This window comes from Homo sapiens, chromosome 5, assembly GCF_000001405.40.
Source record: "Homo sapiens chromosome 5, GRCh38.p14 Primary Assembly".
Taxonomy (NCBI): Eukaryota; Metazoa; Chordata; class Mammalia; order Primates; family Hominidae; genus Homo; species Homo sapiens.
Window position 1 is genome coordinate 89510677 of NC_000005.10, and position 23514 is coordinate 89534190.

A 23514-nucleotide genomic window follows, 5' to 3' on the forward strand; every position below is an offset into this window, starting at 1 on the left:
AATTGGTCACAGATAATTGATGCAGGATTATTCACCAGATTTGAACTGATCCAATCAGCCTCTCTCTTTCCGGATGTTTGGTAAATGAAAACCCAAAGCTGAATGTCATTGGAGTAAATTCTCACTACCTTAAAAGCATTGCGTTGTAGTTTAGCTCCCTCTTTCTTAAGTCCTGATTACTTCGTTATTTTCTTAAATTTCATAAACAATGTTTCTGTTCCTTGACCATTTTTTCTCTTAAACTAGCCAGAGGGTTTTTATGCCTTATGAATAGAAAGAACATAACTGTTAGCTATATTAGTGAGGAACGAGTCTCCACCCTTTCTTTTGCTCTTCTCATTTTCTATAGAAAACTGACTGTTGTGCTTTAAATGTCATATTCTGTCTTCATGAGACCTCAAATTTTCAGCTCTGTTTAAATTTTCAGGCCCAATTTCTAGTCCATGAATGGCACAGGTGTATTCTTTCAAGAGATTCTAAAATATTGGGAAGGGTGATAAGGTCAAAGATTTAAAAAGAGTATCAAGGCTGTCATTCACCAAGAGAAATTCTTTGACAAGGAAGCCTAAGTTTTATTATGATTTCTATGGTTACCATTTTCATCCCAGAGATTAAAAAAAGAGACCAGTTCTTTTGCAATTTTTTTTTTTGCTTTTCCCTCAGGGAGAACAATCTGTTTCCTTCTGAATTTCTGTTATCCTGTTCTTTACCCTTCTTTTATACTGTTCTTTGAAGTTACAAAGTCCTAGTTCGCTTACACAAGACCATTTAGTTAGAGGTAATGTGGGATAGGCCTTCAACTTGAAACACTAGCACAAGTGGAACAAAAAGATACAGGTATCAGGCAAAAAATAATTTCAGATATACTGCTTGAATTAAAAAATAAAATTCTGTTATAGAATTTAAAATAAAGCAAAGCTGTTGTTTAACAAAATGGCCAAGAAGTAACAAGTATTGAATACTACTATTGGGGTGATAGTAAAGGTAGGTAAATAGTATACAGTATAAAGATATTACAGGAATTTTTCATTTTATAATGTTTATTGAAGGAATAATACACCTAGAAAATCAGAGACTCTAAATGTATTGAAATACATTAACTAGACTTTAATTTTCCTGTGAATTGATCATTTAATTTTGACAGGGTGATAATTTAGGGAAAAAAAAAGAAAACTTGAGTGTTGATACAAAACTAGGACTGAATTTTTCCCAATTTGTCCTACTCAGCCTTCTCAAAGTACTATCAATCCCTTTATGTTAGAACCAGTAACACATGCTTTGAAATTAAAATTAAGTACCCACCTAATTTATGATTAGTGTTATGAAGACCAGATTACCTAATTCAAAATCTCCAGTTCCAGATGTTATCTTTCTTTTTTTTTTTCTTTTTTTTTTTTTTTGAGATGGAGTCTTGCTCTGTCACCCAGGCTGGAGTGCAGTGGCGTGATCTCGGCTCACTGCAAGCTCCGTCTCCCAGGTTCACGCCATTCTCCTGCCTCAGCCTCCCAAGTAGCTGGGATTACAGGGGCCCGCCACCACGCCTGGCTATTTTTTTATTTTTTAATTTTTTTGTATTTTTAGTAGAGACGGGGTTTCACAGTGTTAGGCAGGATGGTCTCGACCTCCTGACCTTGTGATCCGCCTGCCTCAGCCTCCCAAAGTGCTGGGATTACAGGCATGAGCTACCGCGCCAGGCCCCAAATGTTATCTTTCTTTATAACCCAGGAAAGTACAAAGATTGCAGCTAAATCCTTTGTATTTGGGAAAATATTGTCTTGAAAACTGTATATTCAAATTCCTTTTAAAATTTATTGTCATTGTGAAATGTTTGAAACAAAAAAATTAAAATGTCAGGCCCTATTTATTAAAATATAGGTTACATTGGAATCAGATGCATATAATTCCACAAATTACCCGTCAAGTATAAACGTAAGAATGATGATTTCCAAAGTATACACTGCTTTTTGAATTTTATAAAGTACTTTACTCATAAGTTTAAGCAGTTAAATTGGTAAAAACAACGGAAAAAACCTTCGGTTTGTTTTTATTAATGCTATAGCCATTAATAAATATGGTGCTTGTCTCTTCAGTCTGGATCAGAACATTTTTGAAATGTTAACAGTGACTATAAAGGTAAATATTTCATGGACCTTGGACCCTACCCTCACAAAACTTACCACCCAGTGGGAAGAGATTGTAATATAACATATGCCAGTATTTGGGAAATGCCACAATGCTAGTACAGACACCATGCTCTCAGAGTTCAATGAAAGGAAAAAAATGTGTTTAAAATGATGTTTAAGTCTAAAAGTTTTCAGCAGCTATAATTCCTCAAATTCGCTTTGCTATTTAAATCCCTCATTTTTCATTACTGTTGGTTACTTTGAAGCCAGAAGGGATCTTTCAATTAGCTTCTGATCAAATGTGAAGTCTTGCTCTTTAGTAACTTCACTACCCTCTGTGGAAACTGCAAGAATGCTAGTTAATGTTCTTGCAGTTATTATCTTAGCTACCATATCTCATTAACACTTGCTTCACTAAACACGAAGTTCAAAGTTAAATGTCATTCTGTGGCTTCAGGTTCTTAAGGATTGATAACCTGGAGGCATATTAAGAGGAATGTCAGCTGCAGGAAAGTATTGCATTGATTCAGGGTATGCTCCCAGGGACAATGAGACTCTGGCCATATTTACAATTCTTCACCCTCCCACCCACCTACCTACCCCAAAGCAAGGCTTTTAAGACCTATTGGCGTAACTCTCCCACACTCAGGATGTTCCCGGGTTGTAATGTTGCCAGCCTTCAGAAGCTGCCTCTCTCAGGCCACTTGCAAACTCTTGAATTTAGGTCACTCGTAAGCAAGACTTATGAAAGAGTACATAATACCATGATTCAGCTTCCTAATGTGCCTCATGTACTTTTAAGGCATAGATCAGACACCAAGAAATTCTAACTTTATGTACCTTTGAATTTACCAATATTTGGTGCAGCCTTTCTTTAACATTTGTATTTTTTAAAAATACTTGTCCTTACTTTTAGTCAGGTAATTATAATATTATGTAATAATCTTATGTAACAGCTAACTACTATCTACAAGAGGTTAAATACAGATTAGATATGTAATATTTCAGGAATGACTAACCACCTATAAGTGGTTGTGTGTGTGTTTGTGTGTGTGTATGTATTTGATTCTCTAATTGCTAACCACAGTAGTCCTCTAAGCTGATGCTTGCTCTTTGTTGCAGATATTTTTAGGATGCTCCAGTAGAAAGACTGGGCAAATGACATTACTTACATTCATTCACTAAAGGAGCTTTACAAATATACACTAAACTTATGAAAAATGTCCAATCATATTAGTAACAAAATCTTTTAGAGTGGAGCAACAGTATTTTTGTCTGCCAAATATATTTTAATATTCATTGCCAACAAGGGTACACTGAAACAGGCCCTCTTGCATGTTCTTAATGGAATTGGATCAATTTTTCCAGAAGAGTACCATTTTGTGTCAAGAGCCTTGATAGTAACATGAAAAATGGGGGAAGCTGCAAAAAAATTATTTCTCTTTTCTTCTCTTTGTTCTTTGTCTTTCATAGTTTTTAATTGACTTTTGTAGTTTCTTCCTTTACCATTTAATTAAAGAGTTTCCAGCAGAATATTGCAAGAAAACTGCATTGATGATGGAGTCAGAAAGTTGGTTTTATAACATGTGGATATAGAAGTAGACTATGATTTGGTGTTATCTATTTCTAAGGATAGAGTTAAGGTGTGGAATGACTGATTATATCACTTGCATGTTGGAGAAAAAGAGACATATATATTCAAATCAGATACTTGAATGTAATTGACATTTTGATTATAGTTGTTGAATATAACTGATTTTTTTTTATCTGACCAGCATCATTTATTTGGGAGAAATGCCCCTCACTCTGTAGTCTAAGATTTTGATAAATGTTCCACCATATGCAGAGAGCATGATCCAACTTAGGCCAAATACAGTCTCTTTTCTAAGAACATGGATCTTAAATGGAGGCACATAGGGATAGGAAGCAGTTAGGACCAAATCTTTCAATGGCCAACCCATAAGAAACACTTCATTTATTTCTGCCACTGAGGTCACAGGGATTTTTTTCTTATTATCAAGTCCTGGAGGTAACACTCTTATTCTGTGAACTACACAATATTCTTTCAACAAATCTCTTTCTTACTTAAAAAAAAGGAATAAAGAAAGAAAGAAAAGAAAGAAAGTGAAAGAAAGAAAAGAAAGAAAGTAAAAGAAAGAAAAGGAAAGAGAAAGAAAGGAAAGAAAGAAAGAGAAAGAGAAAGAGAGAAAGAAAGAAGAAGGAGGAGGAGGAGAAGGAAGGAGAGAAGGAAGGAAGGAAGGAGAGAGAGAAAGAGAGAGAAAGAAAGAAAGAGAAAGACAGAAACAAAGAAAAAAGAAAGAAAGAAAAAGAAAGAAAGAAAGAAAGAAAGAAAGAAAGAAAGAGAGAGAGAGATGAGGGAGTCGGGGTGGAATGGAGGAAATATTTTGGTCATAATTTTGACCTAGTAATTCAATTTCTGGGATTTTTTTAAATAAAGTTATAAGACATTAATGGGAACATTTACTTACAAGGTAATTACTACCAGCATTATCTATAAAGGTGAAAAATAAAAATACATGAAGAGGACGTTATGGAACACCATGTTACATTTAAAACAATAGTTTTAAATAATATCTTAACATTGGAAATGATTGTGTTACCCAGCCATAACAAAACAAAGCGAAAACTAAAATACAAACTATATATTATAATCCCAATGAAACAGACACGTTCATATACACAGAATATCATCCGATGTGCTGAAAGAAAATCTACCAAACGTCTACAGTGATAAATTATGGGGTACAGAAATGTTTGATTTACTAATTTTAATAAAATGCCATTATCAGTTGAATTATGCCAAAACACTTTTAATTTTTCTTTGTTTCCATATTATAGCTCAATAAAAAAATGGCAATTTTTACTCAGTAACGAAAAATAGAACAGTGATTTAGATTTCACAGCTTTCATAGTGAGACTATGAACTTTTCCCACTTTATAATTAATTTCATCTAATTCAAAACTAAAAAACAATTTTGTCTTCTAAGTATCTGAGCCAGAGATAGAGAAGTTGGTGGGGTATGACTATATATCAGAGTTAAGTCTCTCTCTCTGATCTATCTTTCTAGCTAACTGTATCTGTGCCTCTCCGATCTCTTACTGCAAATTTATTCCTATCCTACCCTTCCTCCTCTATATCATATTCCCTTATCACCTCTGTCCATTAACTCCCACACGGGGCCTGTCCATACATACACTATTATTCTTTCTAGCTATCTTAATGTCCTTTACTTCACACATTCAAAATAGTAATATTAATAAAAAATTGTTGCTTCTTATCTGATTTTAAAAAGTTTTAATGTCACTGTCATAATATTTTCTTTTTTTTTCATTTCCATGACACGTTAAAGAGATCTTTCCTGAAAAACTATTATTTAGAATACCAATTCTAAAAATAAGAAGAGTTTTTGCATTAAAAACAATTAGATGAAAAAAATAATCTTTGGGGAAAATAAAGGTGAAGCCTTTTTGTACTTCACTCAGCTTATATAACAAAATTTTTACATGCATTCTAAGTGGTCTTCTGCTGTTTGGGCACATTATCTCATCAACTGAAGGTTTCTATTCTTTGTTCTTTTAAAGCAAGGACTATTATTCTATCCCCAATGTTTCCTCTGCACAGTGCTTTTCAGGATAGCTTATCTAAAGTAGTAGCTTAAAATATGCTTTCTAATCTTCTTTATTATAATTGTATACCATGATTCAGAATTTTGTAATAACTTATGTTCAAAGCCATTAACAGCAGTATCTGTGGAAACAGTGAATACTGAAGCAAACCACAGAGTAAATTTTACCTGTTCCCAGTATGAAAACCTACTGATCTCATATGTGGGTCATTTTCGCCTGGTCTGTCAAATAATGAGTTTATCTGGACCTCAAAGTTTTTCTCTTTACAAAATAGAATATTTTACCATTTAAAATTCAAAATGGGATCTAAATTATATAAGGAGAAGTGGGCTTCAAAAACCCTCTTTATTTATCTCTTATTTAAAGTAGGAGTTGTCACTTTATATGCACCAGCCTAAGATGTAATTGTGTGAAACAATTCATTTCAGTAAAAGGAAAACAAAAGTTATTTTTTAAAGAATCTCTAAATTTGTACTTATAAGACTTCTACTGCTATTCTACTATTTAAGAATGAGATGGGAATACACCCTCTCTCTTCTTTCCCTTTCTAAATATCTATCTACCTATATATATCTATACACACACATACACACAAATATACATATGATTTTCTTATCTCAAAAAATTAAAGAGTAAACTTAAAAAAAAAAGAGTTGTTACCTTACAGAAGAGAACAACAACAAATTGAAGGAAGCAGAACTAAAGAGAGACTTATCAAAAATATGCCTTCTTGTAACTATTGGATTTTGGATTCATTAAAATGTTCAAACATAATTTATAAAACAAGTTAAGTTGAAGTAAACAGAATCAATACCTAAAATCAAAAGCAAAATGAAACAAAAGTAACCAAATGGTATGCTGTATTGGCAAAACCACACAGGGAGAAATTATTTTATGTGGCTTTAAACTCATAACTAAGCTTTTGGCAAAATTTCCCTGGTAGTGTATATCTTAAAGACAAAATAAAAAGGTACTGGGGAAAAAACATAAGCAGCTTTCATTAATTGTACTGTTTATAAGAATGCTAGTAGTGCTACTCAGAGACTATTATGTGCAATGATGAGATAAAGTGAATCAATCATTATGTGGTGTCATTTACATCTTGGGTTTTCCCTGAGGAGAAAGGAGATACAAATAAAAATGGAGGTTAATTAAAACACAAGTAATTTTGAATTTGAGTTGAAAGTATCAAGAAGATCATGACCTTTTCCTACATTTAAAAAAAAGACTATAAACATGATCAAGTGAGTAGCAGTGAGCATCACTTACACCCTTATTATGGTCTGTAAATACCATTTCCCTACGTGGAAAACGGTTACAGGATACAGGGCCCAGAACTATCATGAGATGCCTTTAGGAAGACACTGAGTTTGAAACTATTCTTATCTACTTTTATGGTGTAATAGCTACCGCAAGTGCATCAAGGTCAGTTACTTGTTCCAATATAGAATATAGTTTATCTGCCTTTCAGAATTCAAACAAACCAGGTGGTAGTCAGAGCTTCAGGTTCAGCGGATCCTGAAGTGTGTACCCTGGCAGAAGAATCCGCTGCTGGACACATGGAAAACAGAATCTCAAATCTAGCAGAACATGACTATGCAAATGTGAATAAACAGTTTCACAGTTGGGTTATAAGGTATGATGATGAGAGGGGCTGATCACACTTAACTCGTTTTTTGGAGTCCACATGTTCACTACTGAGGACACAGCATCTGATGATGGTCTTATTCAGCACATAAACCAACTTACGGAGGACAGAGCCCCAATCCCAGGCTGGTACCTTAGATGACCCTCCAATATTCTATTAAGCCAGCTGCTTCTAAATGAGGAACATATGTTAAGACCAGTGAATATATTCTGGGGCTATTGTAACAGCTTCTTTATCACAAAAATAAAGTTTACTCGTTTGAAGCAACATCGTATGGGTTCCATGTTGATAAGTAAGACATTCTGTTGAGCCCTGAAGTAATGAGGATGGTAGCAGCATTTCAGAATTGAAAGGCAAATAAATATTCAGTGCAGAATAAAGATACACCTGGTAAGAATTTATCATTGTTCATATAGGTTGGAAGGGATTGACATAGCAAAACTGCCAGAGTAGCTGACAGTCGCCTTGAGGAATGCTGCCATATTGAATGATGAGAATCTGTTTCTGCTGATGGCAAGTAAGTTAAAGGCCTTTAGCAGTGGCAATAGCATGGTCAGGCTTATTGAGAAGGAGCACATACATATTCTTCATGAGCTCATTGTACTAGCATGAGAATATCCCTGTAACTTTTAAGAACATCTCTGCCATATGCATTCACATGAAACACAAGCATCTGCCTCCATTATGCCCAGTTCTATAGGTTGATCCATTACCTCTCCCTCAGTCTTCCATGGACGTGCTCCTCTAATTTTGTTCCTTTAAGGCTCCTAACTGAACTATTTACAACTAGGCAGGAGTTTGAGAATATCTGTATTTCAGTTCCCTTTTCCCTGTATTCAGAGTAAAAAACTAAGTTTCTGATCACAGCTCTAGGCACTGGATGGTTTCTTTTTGCTACTATTATTTGGGAACAGGCTCAGTGGGCCCAAGATGTGACAATTGTCCACTTTGGGCTAGTATTTTCCACTTAAGTTTAGTACCAACATCCTGAAGAATTTACAAATGAAATTATATGATATCTTCAATTTGCTTTAAAATAACCAGAGAAGTGGTGGAAGGGTAGCCAGTACCTGGGCAAGATATAGATGCAACAAAGTTGGCCATGAGTTGATAATCCTTAAAGCTGAGTGATGCCTGTAAAAGCATGCCATATATGATTCTCTCTACTTTCATAGGTACTTGTACTATTTCATAATAAAACATTACAAAATAACTAACTACCACTACTAAGTTCTGGCAAGTGTGCTGTGAAGCTGCTACACTCATACGCAATGTCATGGGAGAAAAATCGTCATTTTGGCAGTTGGTACAAGAATTCCATTGTAGGGAAAGACTCTGTAAAGAAAATAGGAATCATTTATGTAAAATGTTGTGTGCTTAGTGATATGGTCACTTATATATGTCACCACAAACCTTCAGTAGAGCTATTCTAAAAAGCTACAAAAAATTATTGGTATGTCAGATTTTCTGGGATTTCTGATGAACGGGTTCAATTGTGAGTTAAGGTTAGGGAGCGAGCAAAATTCAGTCAACCAAAACAGACAAGGATGATCACTGGCAAATGGATTGTATGAATGTAGCAGGTAATCTTCCAAGATGGACATCATCAGCTCATTCCTTCTGTGTATATACTTGCTAGTTCACCATGGAGAAGGGGAATCTGTTTTACCTGTCCTTGAATCTGGGATGGCCTTGTCCAATACAATGTGGCAGAAGCAGCACTATACCAGTTCTAGTCTTACTCTTTAGCATGTGTGAGAGCTTCTTCTGGGATAAAACCAGCCACATTGTAAGAAATCTGAAGCTTCTGAAACTACCATGATGAAAGGAAGCCCCAGCCAGGAGGAGAATCTACATAGAGGAGAACCAAGGAATTAGACATATGACCCCAGTCACAAGTCAAATATATGAACCAGTCCCCCAGCCATTTGAGTAATACCAACAGAGTCCCAGCCCATTTTAGGAGCAGAGGTAAGATGTCCCTGCAGTATCTTATCCGAATTTCTGTCCCATGGAATTGTGATACAAACAATTGTGTTTTAAGCTACTATTTGGGGGGATAGTTTTCTATTTAAAAAATAGATAACTACATGTCAAAAATGAGAAAAGTAAATTATGATCCATTAATTAGACAGAACTTTATGTATTCTTTATGAGTGATGCAGTGAAACACAACATTGCAAATACTTACAAAGTAATGTTACATGAAAAATTGGCATGCAAAATTATGTTTGCCCTCTGATTAAAATTGGATAAAGACATAATAAACATAATGAAAAGAGATATAGAAAAAATGCATCAATGACCTAATATTTGTGTTTACAGTTGATATTGATTAAATATAATAAATATATAATAAAACTTAAAAAAATTCATGAATGCTACCTCAGTCATTTCAGGTCTGGAATTTTAGAAATATTTAGGGATTGTATGGTATGAGGATAAGATATTAGGAAAAAGCTAACTTAAAAAATCAACAGAAAAATGATTTATATTTTGTTTCTAAATCATGCCTGGGGTGACTGAAATCTTCTATAATACAGTTACTGACCTAAGGTGGAATTTAAATAAATACTGATTGAAAGAAAAGAGGAAGGGAGGAGATGAAGAGTGAGTGAAAAATGACAAATTTTAGTCCTAGATTTCAAGGAAAAGGCACCCTAATAAAAAATATGCACCTTGAGTGGGACACTATAAGACTCAATATAATAGTAGCTAATGCAAAATTACATGGTTTAAATTAATATGAAGTATTCTCTTTTTATTCATGTTTGCATTACCAACATTTGTTTTAAAATTAGTTGGTTGGACAGCAGAACACATTTTCCCATAGAAATGACCAAACAGTGGTACTGTGCCAAAATGAGGTTTGGCTTTATTCATGACCGTTGAGATTTGCTACTGGTAACAAAACTTCCCAAGGACCAAATACTCAGCAAATCAAACTAACCACAGAGACTTTAGTATATTTTCTGGCTTCTCAATGAGATAAAGTTGGAGATCTGTTGGAGTTATAACAGTAAGTAACTTCAGAAACATTTTGATACTGCGAGGATCTCACAGATTTACAATTACGCTAGTTGACAAGTTATAATTGAAAAAGGTATTTTCTTTATTGATAAAGATATGAGGAGGCCTTCCTCTAGAGAGTCACACAGTATATAGCATTTAATTTTCATTTGATCAAACACTTACAACTAATATTTTAGTAATATGGCTATTTAATCACAAATAATATACATATTCGATATGAATGGTCATTAGTGTGTTTATTATAGCTCTGAAAACAAATAAATACAAGTAAAAGAGTGACCTTTACTCCAGTTCCCAACAGTTTCCTCATCTCCATCTGAGACCACCTCAGCCAGGACTTCATTGTCCATATCATTATTAGCATTTTCATCAAAGTCATACAATGAGTCTCTAGGAAGTTCCAAACCTTCCCATATCTTCCTGTCTTCTGAGCCCTTCAAGTCTCTACAAAGTTCCAAACTTTCCCATATTTTCCTCTTTTTTTCTGAGCCCTACAAACTGTTCCAACCTCTGCCTGTTACCCTGTTCCAAAGCGGCTTTCATATTTTTGGGTATCTTTGTAACAGCACCCCACTCTCTGCAGTCCCAATTTACTGTATTAGCCCATTCTTGTGCCACTAATAAAGACATACCCGAGACTGGGTAATTTATAAAGGTAAGAGGTTTAATTGACTCACGGTTCCATAGGGCTGGGGAACCCTCAGAAAACTTACAGTCATGGTGGAAGCAGAAGCAAATACATCCTTCTTTACATGGCGACAGCAAGAATTGCCGAATAAAAGGCCCCTTATAAAACCATCAGATCTCATGAGAACTCACTCACTATTATGAGAACAGCATGGAAGTAATGACCCCCACAGTGCAATTACTTATGACCAGGTCCCTCCCATGACGTGGGGATTATGGGAACTACAATTCAAGACGAGATTTGGGTGGGGACATAGCCAAATCATATCACCCACTAGTGAAGAAAGTAAACTACAAGGTGAGATATAGACCTCAAATACAATTTCCTTTCCTTCTCTCTTTCCTGCCAGCCTTCTCTTACACTCCAAAACTTCTGGACAAACACCTTGCAATTCAGACTCTGGATAACAACCTCTAATTGTTTAAGGTACTTAAGGGAAGAAAAATGAAGATTTTAGGAATCTTCTTAAGTTGGCACAAACTGAAAAACTATACAAAGTGTTGTTAACTTAGAACATTATTTTTAAATATACAATATTTAAAAATAGTAAGGTGCTGGGCATGGTAACTATTGCCTGTATTCTCAGCACTTTGGGAGGCCAAGGCAGGTGCATCACCTGAGGTCAGGAGTTCAAGACCAGTCTGGCCAACATGGTGGAACCCCATCTCTACTAAAAATACAAAATTAGCCAAGACTGGTGTTGCACACCTGTAATCCCAGCTACTTGGGAGTTTGAGGCAAGAGAATCGCTTGAACCCGGGAGGTGGAGGTTGCAGTGAGCCAAGACCATGCTGTTGCACTCCAGCCTGGGTGACAAGAGTGAAATTCCATCTCAAATAAATAAATAAATATAAAAATAGCAAGGGATTATGTAAGAATATTTTATTAGGTGTGTTTTTATTATATGTTACTCAACCTGGAAAAGGAGCACTAGACAATATGTGTAGTGGTTTTTCTAAGGTAAAACAGAACATGGATTATAATTCCTGATTCTTTAAATCCCTGAGTATCTGCTTAGTTATGTGCCTGGATATGTTAAATTGTCCCACATCAAAAGGCTTAAATAAAAATTGCTTTATATGATGGGTCTCCTCTGGTTTAGCAAATGTCTCAAAAGCTTAGATGTTCTTGTGTAATAATTTACTAAGTATTATCATATTACTTTATTAGAAGATCAAGCAGTGTAATTTGTTTTCTGACACTTGTATCTTCAAATTCTCAATTTCATAAGAGTGAAAGACTATTCTTAAAATAAAAACCAGAGAATTGTCAAATTTCATGAAGCCGTTTGGGAAGCCAAATGGTTGTATTCATACTGTGTTACAGCTATACTAAACCTTGCTTTTAGAATACCTACAGGGCTCTTTTTTTTTGTTTCTATCAACAACAACAACAACAACAACAAAAACATGAAAATAAATTCATTTCTTTTGAACATTAAATAACCTGGAAAGATAACAATTGAAAAAAAAATCTAAAAATTCAGTAGGTTCTCCCCTAGGATGGACAAAGAGATAATTGAGATTATGATTTTCTAAATAATTACTATTTATTCTGAGGGCTGCTTAAAAGCATTGCATATTCACTGAGAGTTCATTAATAATCATAATGATCTCAAATGTTTGTATAATGTTTCAGGGATGTTCATATAAATTTGCACAAGAACTGTCAACACATGCCTACTCTTAAAGAATACATTTCTGCATCAGATTCACCCACACATAGTTAACCACGTTAGGCTATTGTGCATTGAAGAGTTCATATTTGGCTTGTGTGGGCAAAATGACATTCTCAGTTCTTTAATAAAATGATCTTATTGAACCCATTTCTGATCAGGTAAAGAAACCACCCTGGAATGCTTTCCAAAAACTCAACTATGATTCGTTACTTTTTTTCTCTTTCTATTCCTTTGCAACTCCTCTCTTTATGAATTTACATTGCCCCTCTTTAGTTTATTCTAAAATGTAGTCCTTCAAATATTGTAAATAAACATGGGGGATTAGTTCAGTTAAATAACTAGCAGAGAGCCTTTGGTATCACAATAATATTTTCTGTAAATATCTCAGTCCCCTTTGTATTAGTCCATTTTCACACTGCTGATAAAGACATACCAGAGACTGGGCAATTTGCAAAAGAAAGAAGTTTAATGGACTTGCAGTTCAACATGGCTGGAGAGGCCTCACAATCATGGTGGAAAGCAGGAAGGAGCAAGTCACATCTTACATGGATGGCAGCAGGCTTGCACCCTCTGAAACCATGGCCTGAGCTCTACATTGGCCCCTTTCAGCCATGGATGGAACAGCTGGGATGTAGAGCACCAAGTCCCAAGGCTGCACACAGCACAAAGACCCTATGCCTGGCCCATGAAACCATTTTTTCCTCCTAGGCCTCAGGGCCTGTGATGGAAGGGCTGCCATGAAGACCCCTGACATACCCTGGAGACATTTTCCCTATTTCTTGGGGATTAACATTCAGCTCCTCATTACTTGTGCAAATTTCTGCAGCCAGCTTGAATTTCTCCTCAGAAAATGGGATTTTCTTTTCTATCACATTGTCAGGCTGCAAATTTTCTGAACTTTTATGCTCTGCTTCCCTTATAAAAGTGAATGCCTTTAATAGCACCCAAGTCACATCTTGAATGCTTTGCTGCTTGGAAATTTCTTCTGCCAGATACCCTAAATCATCCCTTTCAAGTTCAAAGTTCCACAAATATTTAAGGCAGGGGCAAAATGCCACCAGTCTCTTTACTAAGACTTAGCAAGAATAACCTTTGCTCCAGTTCCCAAGTTCCTCGTTTCCATCTGAGACCACCTCAGCCTGGACTTTATTGTCCATATCGCTATCAATATTTTGGGCAAAGCATTTCAATAAGTCTCTAGAAAGTTCCAAATTTTCCCACATTTTCTTCTCTTTTTCTGAGCCCTCCAAACTCTTCCAACCTCTGCCTCTTACCCAGTTCCAAAGTCGCTTCCACATTTTCAGCAGCACCCCACTTTACTGGTGCCAATTTATTATATTATTCCATTTTCACATTGCTGATAAAGACATACCGGAGACTGGGCAATTTATAAAATAAAGAAGTTTAATGGACTTGCAGTTCAACATGGCTGGAGAGGCCTCACAATCATGGCAAAAGGCAGGGAGGAGCAAGTCACTTCTTACATGGATGGCAGCAGGCAAAGAGAGAGCTTATGCAGGGAAACTCCTGTTTTTAAAACCGTCAGATATTGTGAGACTCATTCACTATCACGAGAACAGCACAGGAAAGACCTACCTCTATAATTCAATCACCCCCCACTGGGTTCCTCCCATGACATGTAGGAAAAGTGGGAGTTACAATTCAATATGAGATTCAGCTGGGTACCCAGCCAAACCATATTACTCTTCCTATTTAATGTGTCACCATTGTGAAAAATAAAGCTCAGAGGACATTTGCAACAAATTTTATGAAAAAAATTGCTATCAGGAAATATGTCCTACTATGAAAATATAGGTATCTTGCCTGCAACTTCACCTAGCAAAATACTATCAGGAAATTTTCTATTTAAATTCCCTAGAGTAATTTACCCATTTACCTGTTCAATAACTTATTAACTACTTCATTCAGAAAACATTTATGTAGAAGTATGCTAAATGCTAGTGATAAAAGAATGAAGAACAATCCCTATCACAGAGGAGATGGCTACTTTGATAATTCATCTTTAAAATCTATTTTTTATTCCAATGAATAGTCTCTGTGAAGATGTATGTGCATGATGAATATTTTCCATGTGAGATTCTAAACTGTAAAGTACAAGGACATAAACTTTGGTGTCAGATCTGGTTCTAAGTCTAGCCCTGTCATTACTAGCTATATGACTTTGAGAGTGTTGGACAACTCCCTAAGCTCAATTTCTTCATTTGTAAAGTGCAGACGACAGTGGTATCCTTAACACCTACAACTGGGCTGGGCGTGGTGGCTCACGCCTGTAATCCCAGCACTTTGGGAGGCTGAGGTGGGTGGATCACGAGGTCAGGAGATCGAGACCATCCTGGCTAACACAGTGAAACCCTGTCTCTACTAAAAATACAAAAAATTAGCTGGGCATGGTGGTGGGTGCCTGTAGTCCCAGCCACTCTGGAGGCTGAGGCAGGAGAATGGCGTGAACCCGGGAGGCAGAGCTTGTAGTGAGCCAAGATCATGCCACTGCATTCCAGCCTGGGTGACAGAGCGAGACTCTGTCTCAAAAAAAAAAAAAACAACAAAACAAAAACAAAAAAAAACAAAACACACACACACCTACAACTAATAAATACAGGCTACTTCTTACAGATTTCTCTTTTACAGCTCTCAATTAATGATACTGTAACAGTCAATATGTATAAGATATTTAGAAGTGTACTGTTAATGCCTGGCTTCTTAGAATGCAGAAATTGGAAAAGAATGTTGGCTCCTTTCTAACAATAAAAAGAAGCTATATAGTTTACAAAATGATAGCTCTCCTTGAACCCATCAGGGTAGTGGGATTGGAGGACAAACAAGTATCCTGAAATCCAAAGAAAAACAGGAGCTTCCAAGGAAATATGGATGTCAAATACAGACCCACCAGGAGCAGAGCAAGGGAGGAAGATAGAGCTGCTAAACAAAGCAGTTAAGAAACATTCAGCTAAATTTTTAACACATTGCTAAACTGTGGATTAACATGAGAACAGAGAACCTTTGGGAGGCCAAAACACAAGGGAGTCTACATCCACTCAAAGTTTCCTCTCTATACATTTCCACTAGGTCAAGTGGATAAGGCTGTCACTGTAGGAAAACCCAGAGATCCTGTGCAGATCCTTTCCCCCAACGAAGCAAAAGTCTAAAGTTGTGAGAAAGACAACAACCCCTGACATTCCAGGATACAGGTGTAAACCCATTGTACCTAGAGGTAGGAGAGAAATTAACCCCTCCACTATTAGCAGAGAGTCAGGAAACGGAAGTCCCTGGTTATGCCAATGACAAAGGGAATGATGCTGTATAAAGACACCAATATATGATGATGTATAAAGAATCCCCCAGTTTCACACCACTAGGCTAATAAGCACAGAGTAGCAAGAAACAGTAGTGCACCTCTGGGGCAAGGGCAAGAGCATGAAGAGAGACTCTGAGATAAAAGCACAGGGATGCAGCCTAATGCTGACAGTGAGGAAGAAATAATGAGAAAACCCTCTGATAAACCAGTCCCATGCCAAGAACATGCTAATGCCAGATAAATTTGAAGTCAGTGTACACTGAAGGTAATCAAAGCAGTGATGAAAAGTAAACCCATCTAACCCTCTGACCAGATTGACTCACACTCTTACCCTTACAGCAAAGGAAAGGAAAGTGCATGCCTATTTACATGCATGAATGCCATTTGTAAACCACATAAAATCTATTCTCTGATCATAACAAAATTAAACTAGGAATCAATAACAAAAGTAAACCTGGAAAATATTCAAGTATTTGGAAATGAAACAATACACTTCTACATAATTCATGACTTAAAAAATAAGTCTTAAAAAATTTAGAAAATAGTTTCAATTTAAAAAAAATAAAAACACGTCATCATTTGTGGGATGCAGCTAATTCAGTAGTTAGAGGGAAATCTATAGCATTACTGTTTACTTAAGAAAAGAGCGAAAGTCTGAAATCAAAGCTTCCATGTTAATAAACTAGAAAAAGAAAGGAAAAGCAAAAGTAAACAAAAGGAAGGAAATAGTAAAGATGAGGGCAGAAAACAATGATATTGCAAACCAAAAAACAGTAGAGAAAATCACGAAAACCAGAAGCTATTTATTTTCTTAAAATTAACAAAATAGATAAATTTCTAGTCATACTTAGCAAGAAAAAAACAGAATATGAAATTAACAATATCAACTATGGAAGAAATGAATCACTAAAAACCTGCAGATATTAAAATAATAACATAAGAATATTATGAATAATGTAATGCCCATAAATGTTGGCAGCAGAAAAAATGGACAGATGCCTTGAAAGAAAAACCACCAAAGCTCACTCAAGAAAAACAGATAAACTAAATGATCTTGTATTTACTGGATTAATTGAATTTTTAATTAAAAACCCTCCAATGGAAACAAACAAACAAAAAACTTAGATAGGTTCATTAATGGCTTTACTGGTAAATTCTACCAAACATTTAGGAAAAAAGTTATACCAATTCAATGTAAAAATTTTCAGAAAATATTAGAAGAGAGAACGTTTTCTAATTTACTTTATGAAGCTAGCATTACCCTGAAAGTCAAATCAGACAAAGCCATTACAAGGAAACAAACTTACAAACCAATATGCCTCATAAATATAGATGTACAAATGCTTAGCACAATTGAATACAGCAATATGTACAAATGGTGATTTAACATTATCAATCAAAGTAATTCCATTGTACCAATAGACTACAGAAAAGAAAAACACATGATCATTTCAATCAATTCAGAAGAATCATTTGACAAAATATAATACTTGCTCATGATAAAAACTCAGGAAACTAGGGATCAAAGGGAACTTTCTCACTCCATTAAAAGACACTTAAAAATAAAATTTACAGCCAACATCATACTTAATATTAAAATGTAATTAAGCACATAAAAGAACCATAAAGCTGTGCAGCTCATACTAGCAGACTTTGAGTTACTTTTCAAACCACAGTAATAAAGATAGTATTATATTGGAGAAAGAATGGAAACACAAATTAATTGTGAAGAATAGAGGGTCCAGAAATAGACCCATGCATATATGGTGAATTGATTTTTGAATAAGTTGCAAAAGACAATGGAAAATGGATGGTCTTTTCAACAAGTGATGTTGGAACTATTGAACATTGAGGACCAAAATAATTAACCTTAAGTTATACCTTTTGATTTAAGCAAAATTAAGTAAAAAGAAATCATATCCCTAAATGTAAAACTAAAACTAGAAAGCTTCTTTATAAAAGCATTGGAGAAAATCTTTGTGAATGAATGTGAGTTAGGTAAATATTTTTTTAAGTATAATATGACAGGCATATACTATAAAAGAAAAAATATATATAAAATGGACTTCATTAAAATTAAAAATTTTACCCTTCAAAAGATAATGTTAAGACAATAAAAAAGAAAGACCAGATGGGAGAATATATTTGTAAAATACATATCTGATGAAGGATTTTTCTCCAGAATGTATAAAGGATTTTTCTTCAGAATAAAGAATTTTTAAAGCTCTATTCTAAGAAAACAAACAAACAAACCAATAAAAAATGGTCAAGATATTTCAACAGCCATTTCAATGAAGAAGAAATACAGTTGTCAGGCAAGTTCATTAACAGATATTGTAAATAGTATACTCAGTATCACTAGTGATTAGGGAAATGCACATCAAAACCAAAATGAGCTATATGGAAGGAAGTATTCTAAGATGGCCCCACAATGATCCATGCCCTTGTATATTGCCCTTTCCTTGAGTGTAAATAGAGCTTGTAACTATGATGAAATATCACTTCCATGATTAGGCTATGTTATAAGGCAAAGGTGAAGGGATTTTGCAGATATAATTAAGATCCCTCCTCAGTTGATTTTTAGCTAATTCAAATGGAGATAATCTGAGTAGATCTAATTTAATTTGGTGAGCTCTTAAAAGAGGGTTTAGTGGTTAGAAACAGGAAATCAGAGCAATGCTCCTATTGGCTCCAAAGAAGTAAACTGCCATTTTGTGAGAAGACCTGAGAATGAGGGACCTCCAGCAACTGAGAGTGGCCTCAGGCCAAAGGAGAGCAAGAAAACAGAGGCCTCAGTCTTAAAATATAAAAAACCAAACTCTGCCAACAACCTGAATTAGTTTGGAAGAGGACTCTAGGCCTCAGATGAGATAGCAGCTCCACTGACACCTTGATTTCCATCTTGGGAGACCCTGAACAGAGTATCCAGCTAATCTGTGACTAGCGGTCTGTCTCCCAGGACATTTGAGATAATAAATTTGTGTTGCTTTAAGGTGCTTTGTTTGTGGTACTTTGCTATGCAGCAATATAAACTAATAAAATACCACTGCACACTTATGAGAATGGTCAAACAAAAACTGACAATAGTAAGTGCTATTTGCAATGACACAGAATGATTGGAACTCATACATTACTGATGAAATGCAAAATTCTACAAATGCTTCACAAAATAACTTGTCAGTTTCTTATAAGGATATACATACACTCAGCACATGACCCAGTAATCCTTTGCTTAGGTATTTATTTCAGAGATGTGATCATCTATGTTCACACAAAAACTTGTAGGCTAATGTTTATGGTGGCTTTATACATAAATGCCAAAAGCTGAAAGAACCCAAATGTCCTCCATGAAAGGTTAATCTGTGGAACATCTGTGCAGTGGAATACTATTCATCAATAAAAAAGAAATGAATGTTTGATACATGCAATTACATTGATGGATGTCAAATATATAAGCTAAGTGAAAAAATCTATGTACTTTATGAGTTTATTAATTTTTACATTTCAGAAAAAGGAAAAATTATAGAGAAATAAAATAAGTCAGTAGTTGCCAGGGATTAGGGTGATCAAACATATTAACTACAAAGGCACATGAAGAATTCTTTGAGGAGATACAACAGTTCAATATTTTTATTTTGTGGTGGTGACTACATACAATTTGCCAAAACTCATAAACTGTACACAGAAAATATTCATTTCTTTGTATATAGCTTATACCTCAATTAAAATATTGATATGTAAAACAAAATATAGCTGCTGTATTAAAATATCAGTGGCTTAATACAGCACAAATTTATCTCTTGCTCAGAAAATTTCAAAATAGACATTTGCAATCAATCCATGAGCAGTTCTCCTACACGTGGTGATTCAGGAACAAAATTCCCTCCATCTTGTTCATGTGTTCAGTATATGAACCCCAGGCTGGTCTGCTTCAAGTTAAATAAGAGAAAGAGCATGGGTTTTCACACATTAGAGGGCAAGGCCTGAAAGTGACTTGTGTCACATTTGCTAACATCCACTGCCCAGCACTGAGTCCAGAGCTACAGCTAACTGAAGGGAGGCAGTAGAATTTACACAAGTGGTTTGTATAAACAAAACATGTTTTGTGAATAGATAACCAGTCTATTTATTACTTTTATAGTAAATATAAAAGCATAGACTATTTCCCACATATAATAAAGTTTAGGCCTTAAAATTAAACAAATAAAAAACAAAAAACATAAGATATAACAAATGATAATAAAAATGGATGTTTATTTTTGTAGAACACTACATTGTTATGGAATATTTCTGCTAGAATAATGTATCATTTTAAAGTGAATTGAGAAAAATATTCTTGCATGAAATATTTACCTATGATGTTTTCTTTTGGAATTCTTCCGACTTGTGGCTTGTCTTCTGAGTTGCAGTTCAGATATTTTTCCACTATGTCACTTTGCCTCCCCAAATTCAAATTAGAGAGGTATACCTGGAACAAGGATGACTTCCTGAAGAAATCTTTACAAAATACTTTTATTTTCTACGGATAACTTTTAAATGAGATTTTAGTCCATTTGTCTAACATTAGTATTCATTAGATTTCACTCTAATTTTTTTTTCTTTCCTGATACAAGATACTCAGGGATAAAATAAAGGAAAACATTCGTGTTTGGGTTCACTTCAAGAAAAAGCCTTAATATTGATGGACTCTTCAAAATAGTATTTAGTGACTTAGATTGGAAAATCCTTTCAAGAATTTGAGACAAATAAACATATTTGGCTTATAATAACATTTTGGTTGCTAGAACATACATCATATAGTAGCATCTACATGAAATGTTGATTATTATCTATTTTTCCATAGGTACATTCTTTTAGGGTTGGTTAGTAAGTAGTATTAGCAAATTTAATAACCTGCAATGTGATTTTGTTTTAAATTCATAGAATATTTAACATTATTTTCTAAATATTGGGTTTTGTAGTTGGTTCAAGTAATCCCGTAAGTCACTGGTGATGAATGAGAGATCTATTGCAGTGTAATAATTTATCCTTAGAAATGTTAATTCGAGCAATTCTCACCAAAAGTGCCTAATAAAATTATTTTCTCATCCCATAAATATCATCAAATTATTGTTTTAATAAAATTCTAGAAGGAAAAGTGCAAAAAATGGATATTCTGGTCTTCTCTTAAGGACAAGGAAGTAAAATGGCATGGTTTTTAAATTATCTTGTATGCATAATAAATCAGATATGACATTATAGACTCTGATCATCTGTGTATAAATGCAGATATGGGTTTTTTGTGTATCTGAATTTCATTACTCAAATATTTTATGATCTGTAAACTAATTTCACTTTAAAATTACAATCTTATGAACGTCTTCTATCAGTCATCATCTATGGTTATTAATGCAAGGGATGTGGCATGTTTGTATTAAATTGGCACAGCATGAAGTGTGAATTTTGTGATATATTTTAAACTCTATGTTCATGGATTGTTTTCTTCTGAGTGGGTGGATCACAGCTATATAAAGACACATTATGTTTCAAGGTCTGTCTCAATTTGAAATATATATATTTATTTACAGAGTATAAATAAGAAACAAAATGAGGAAAATTAAATTTGAAGAACTCAATATTTCAAAAGCTTGGAGCATTATTTTTAAAATTAGTTTTGAGGAGAGACTAATCAGAGGAACAAAGATTAAGGAAAAGTATCAGCCTGATTCTAATGAAAACTAATAGCGTCAAAGAAAAATGTGACCAAGCAAAGTAGGAAAAAAAACAAACAAGCACTGTAAGGTAGATTGTTTTGAGTGTGCCTTTTGGTTGTTGATGTTTCTAAAGATATCAGAGCTTCTTAAATTTTATTCTGCATGGTAAATCTGGTCTTATAAAGTGGATTAGATATCAATCAGTCATTAATCAAATTACTAATTTGTTTTTAGAATTTATTTATCTGGAACGTCATAGAGCTTGGTCAAAATGGCCCAGAAATTTAACATGCTACATATTAACACTAAATTCTTATGTTTTTCATGTTAAATGTCATACAGCATAAAAGTGGGACTAACATATAAGACATAGGTGCAGAAAAATGTAATTCATATACATATATGGCAAGCTTTCAAAACATATTTTCTTCCTTTTGTTTTTATCTCCTTGTCTATGTTGTGGTCATATTACATGAAAAACAAGACTAATACTCTATTAAGGTTTCAGCTTAATAATAATATAATTTACTACAAAGAACAGTTTGAGTGCTGTCTAGTTCATTTATTCACAAATATTTACCATGCGCCAACTATTGCCAGGCATTATGACACAAAGTGTAAAAAAATTATATGCTACCTGCCCGGAGCTAATAGTCTAGTCCTATAAATGTTAATTTGAATACTTTAACTAAAAGTGCTTAATATTGTGATTGGGGTTACATGCTGTGGAGGAGAGTTATATGGTAATATGTGAACATAGAAGAAGAGATCATGGAAAACTTGAGTGACAAAGTAAAATCTTAGTAATGAGCTGTGATCTGGAAAATGAGCATGCCTCAGTTAGCAAGAGTAATCCTGGCAGAGGAAACAGGGTGTAGAAATCCGCTACTGCAGAGGGAGCACAGATGAGGAGCAGCAGTGACTGGGACAGAAAGAATGAGAAGGGTATGAAACACCAAGCTGGAGATGTGTGTGCTTGCTGGACCTTGTAGGCCCTGGTAGGTCATGAATAGATCTTCTGTCCTTTATCTAAGATTAACGAGAAGTTCTCAAAGTGTTTTAAGTTTGTGTGTGTGTGGAGGAAGGATGTATAGCGTTGCAATGAGAAGATCTGAATTTCAGAAAGCTCTTATTGACTTGCGGTGGAGATGACAGAGTCCTTAGTGTCAGGAAGACCAATAGGGAAGTTATTGCAATCATCTAGGTAACAGAGATTGATGACTAGCCTTGTCTCCAGGGGCTATTTTCCAAGACTTCAAGCCTCTGTTCTACAAAAAGGAAGCTTATAGGGTATTATAAGCTTAATTTTCTTACAGTGGTGGTCAAAATCTAGCCTCCTATATGGAATTAGTATACTTAATATACTTCGGTATAGTGTTAGCTATTTAGAAAGTTGGAAATGAAGAGAAACAAAGAGAGATAAAGCTAAAGTGTAGAACATACTAAGAAGTTAGGCAGACTTCTGGGGAAAAACAATGAGGGCAGAAGAGAAGGCCTCAAGTCTGTGTATCAAGATGACAAATCCTGTGTGTTCTAAGCTGTATTAGTTATCTATTGCTGTTTAACAAATTAACCCCAAATGTAATGGCTTAAAACAACATTTTACTATTTTACAGTTTCTGTGGGTCAAGAACCTGGGTGCAAAGTACCAGGGTCCTCCTTCTCAGGGTCTTTCACAATACTGTAA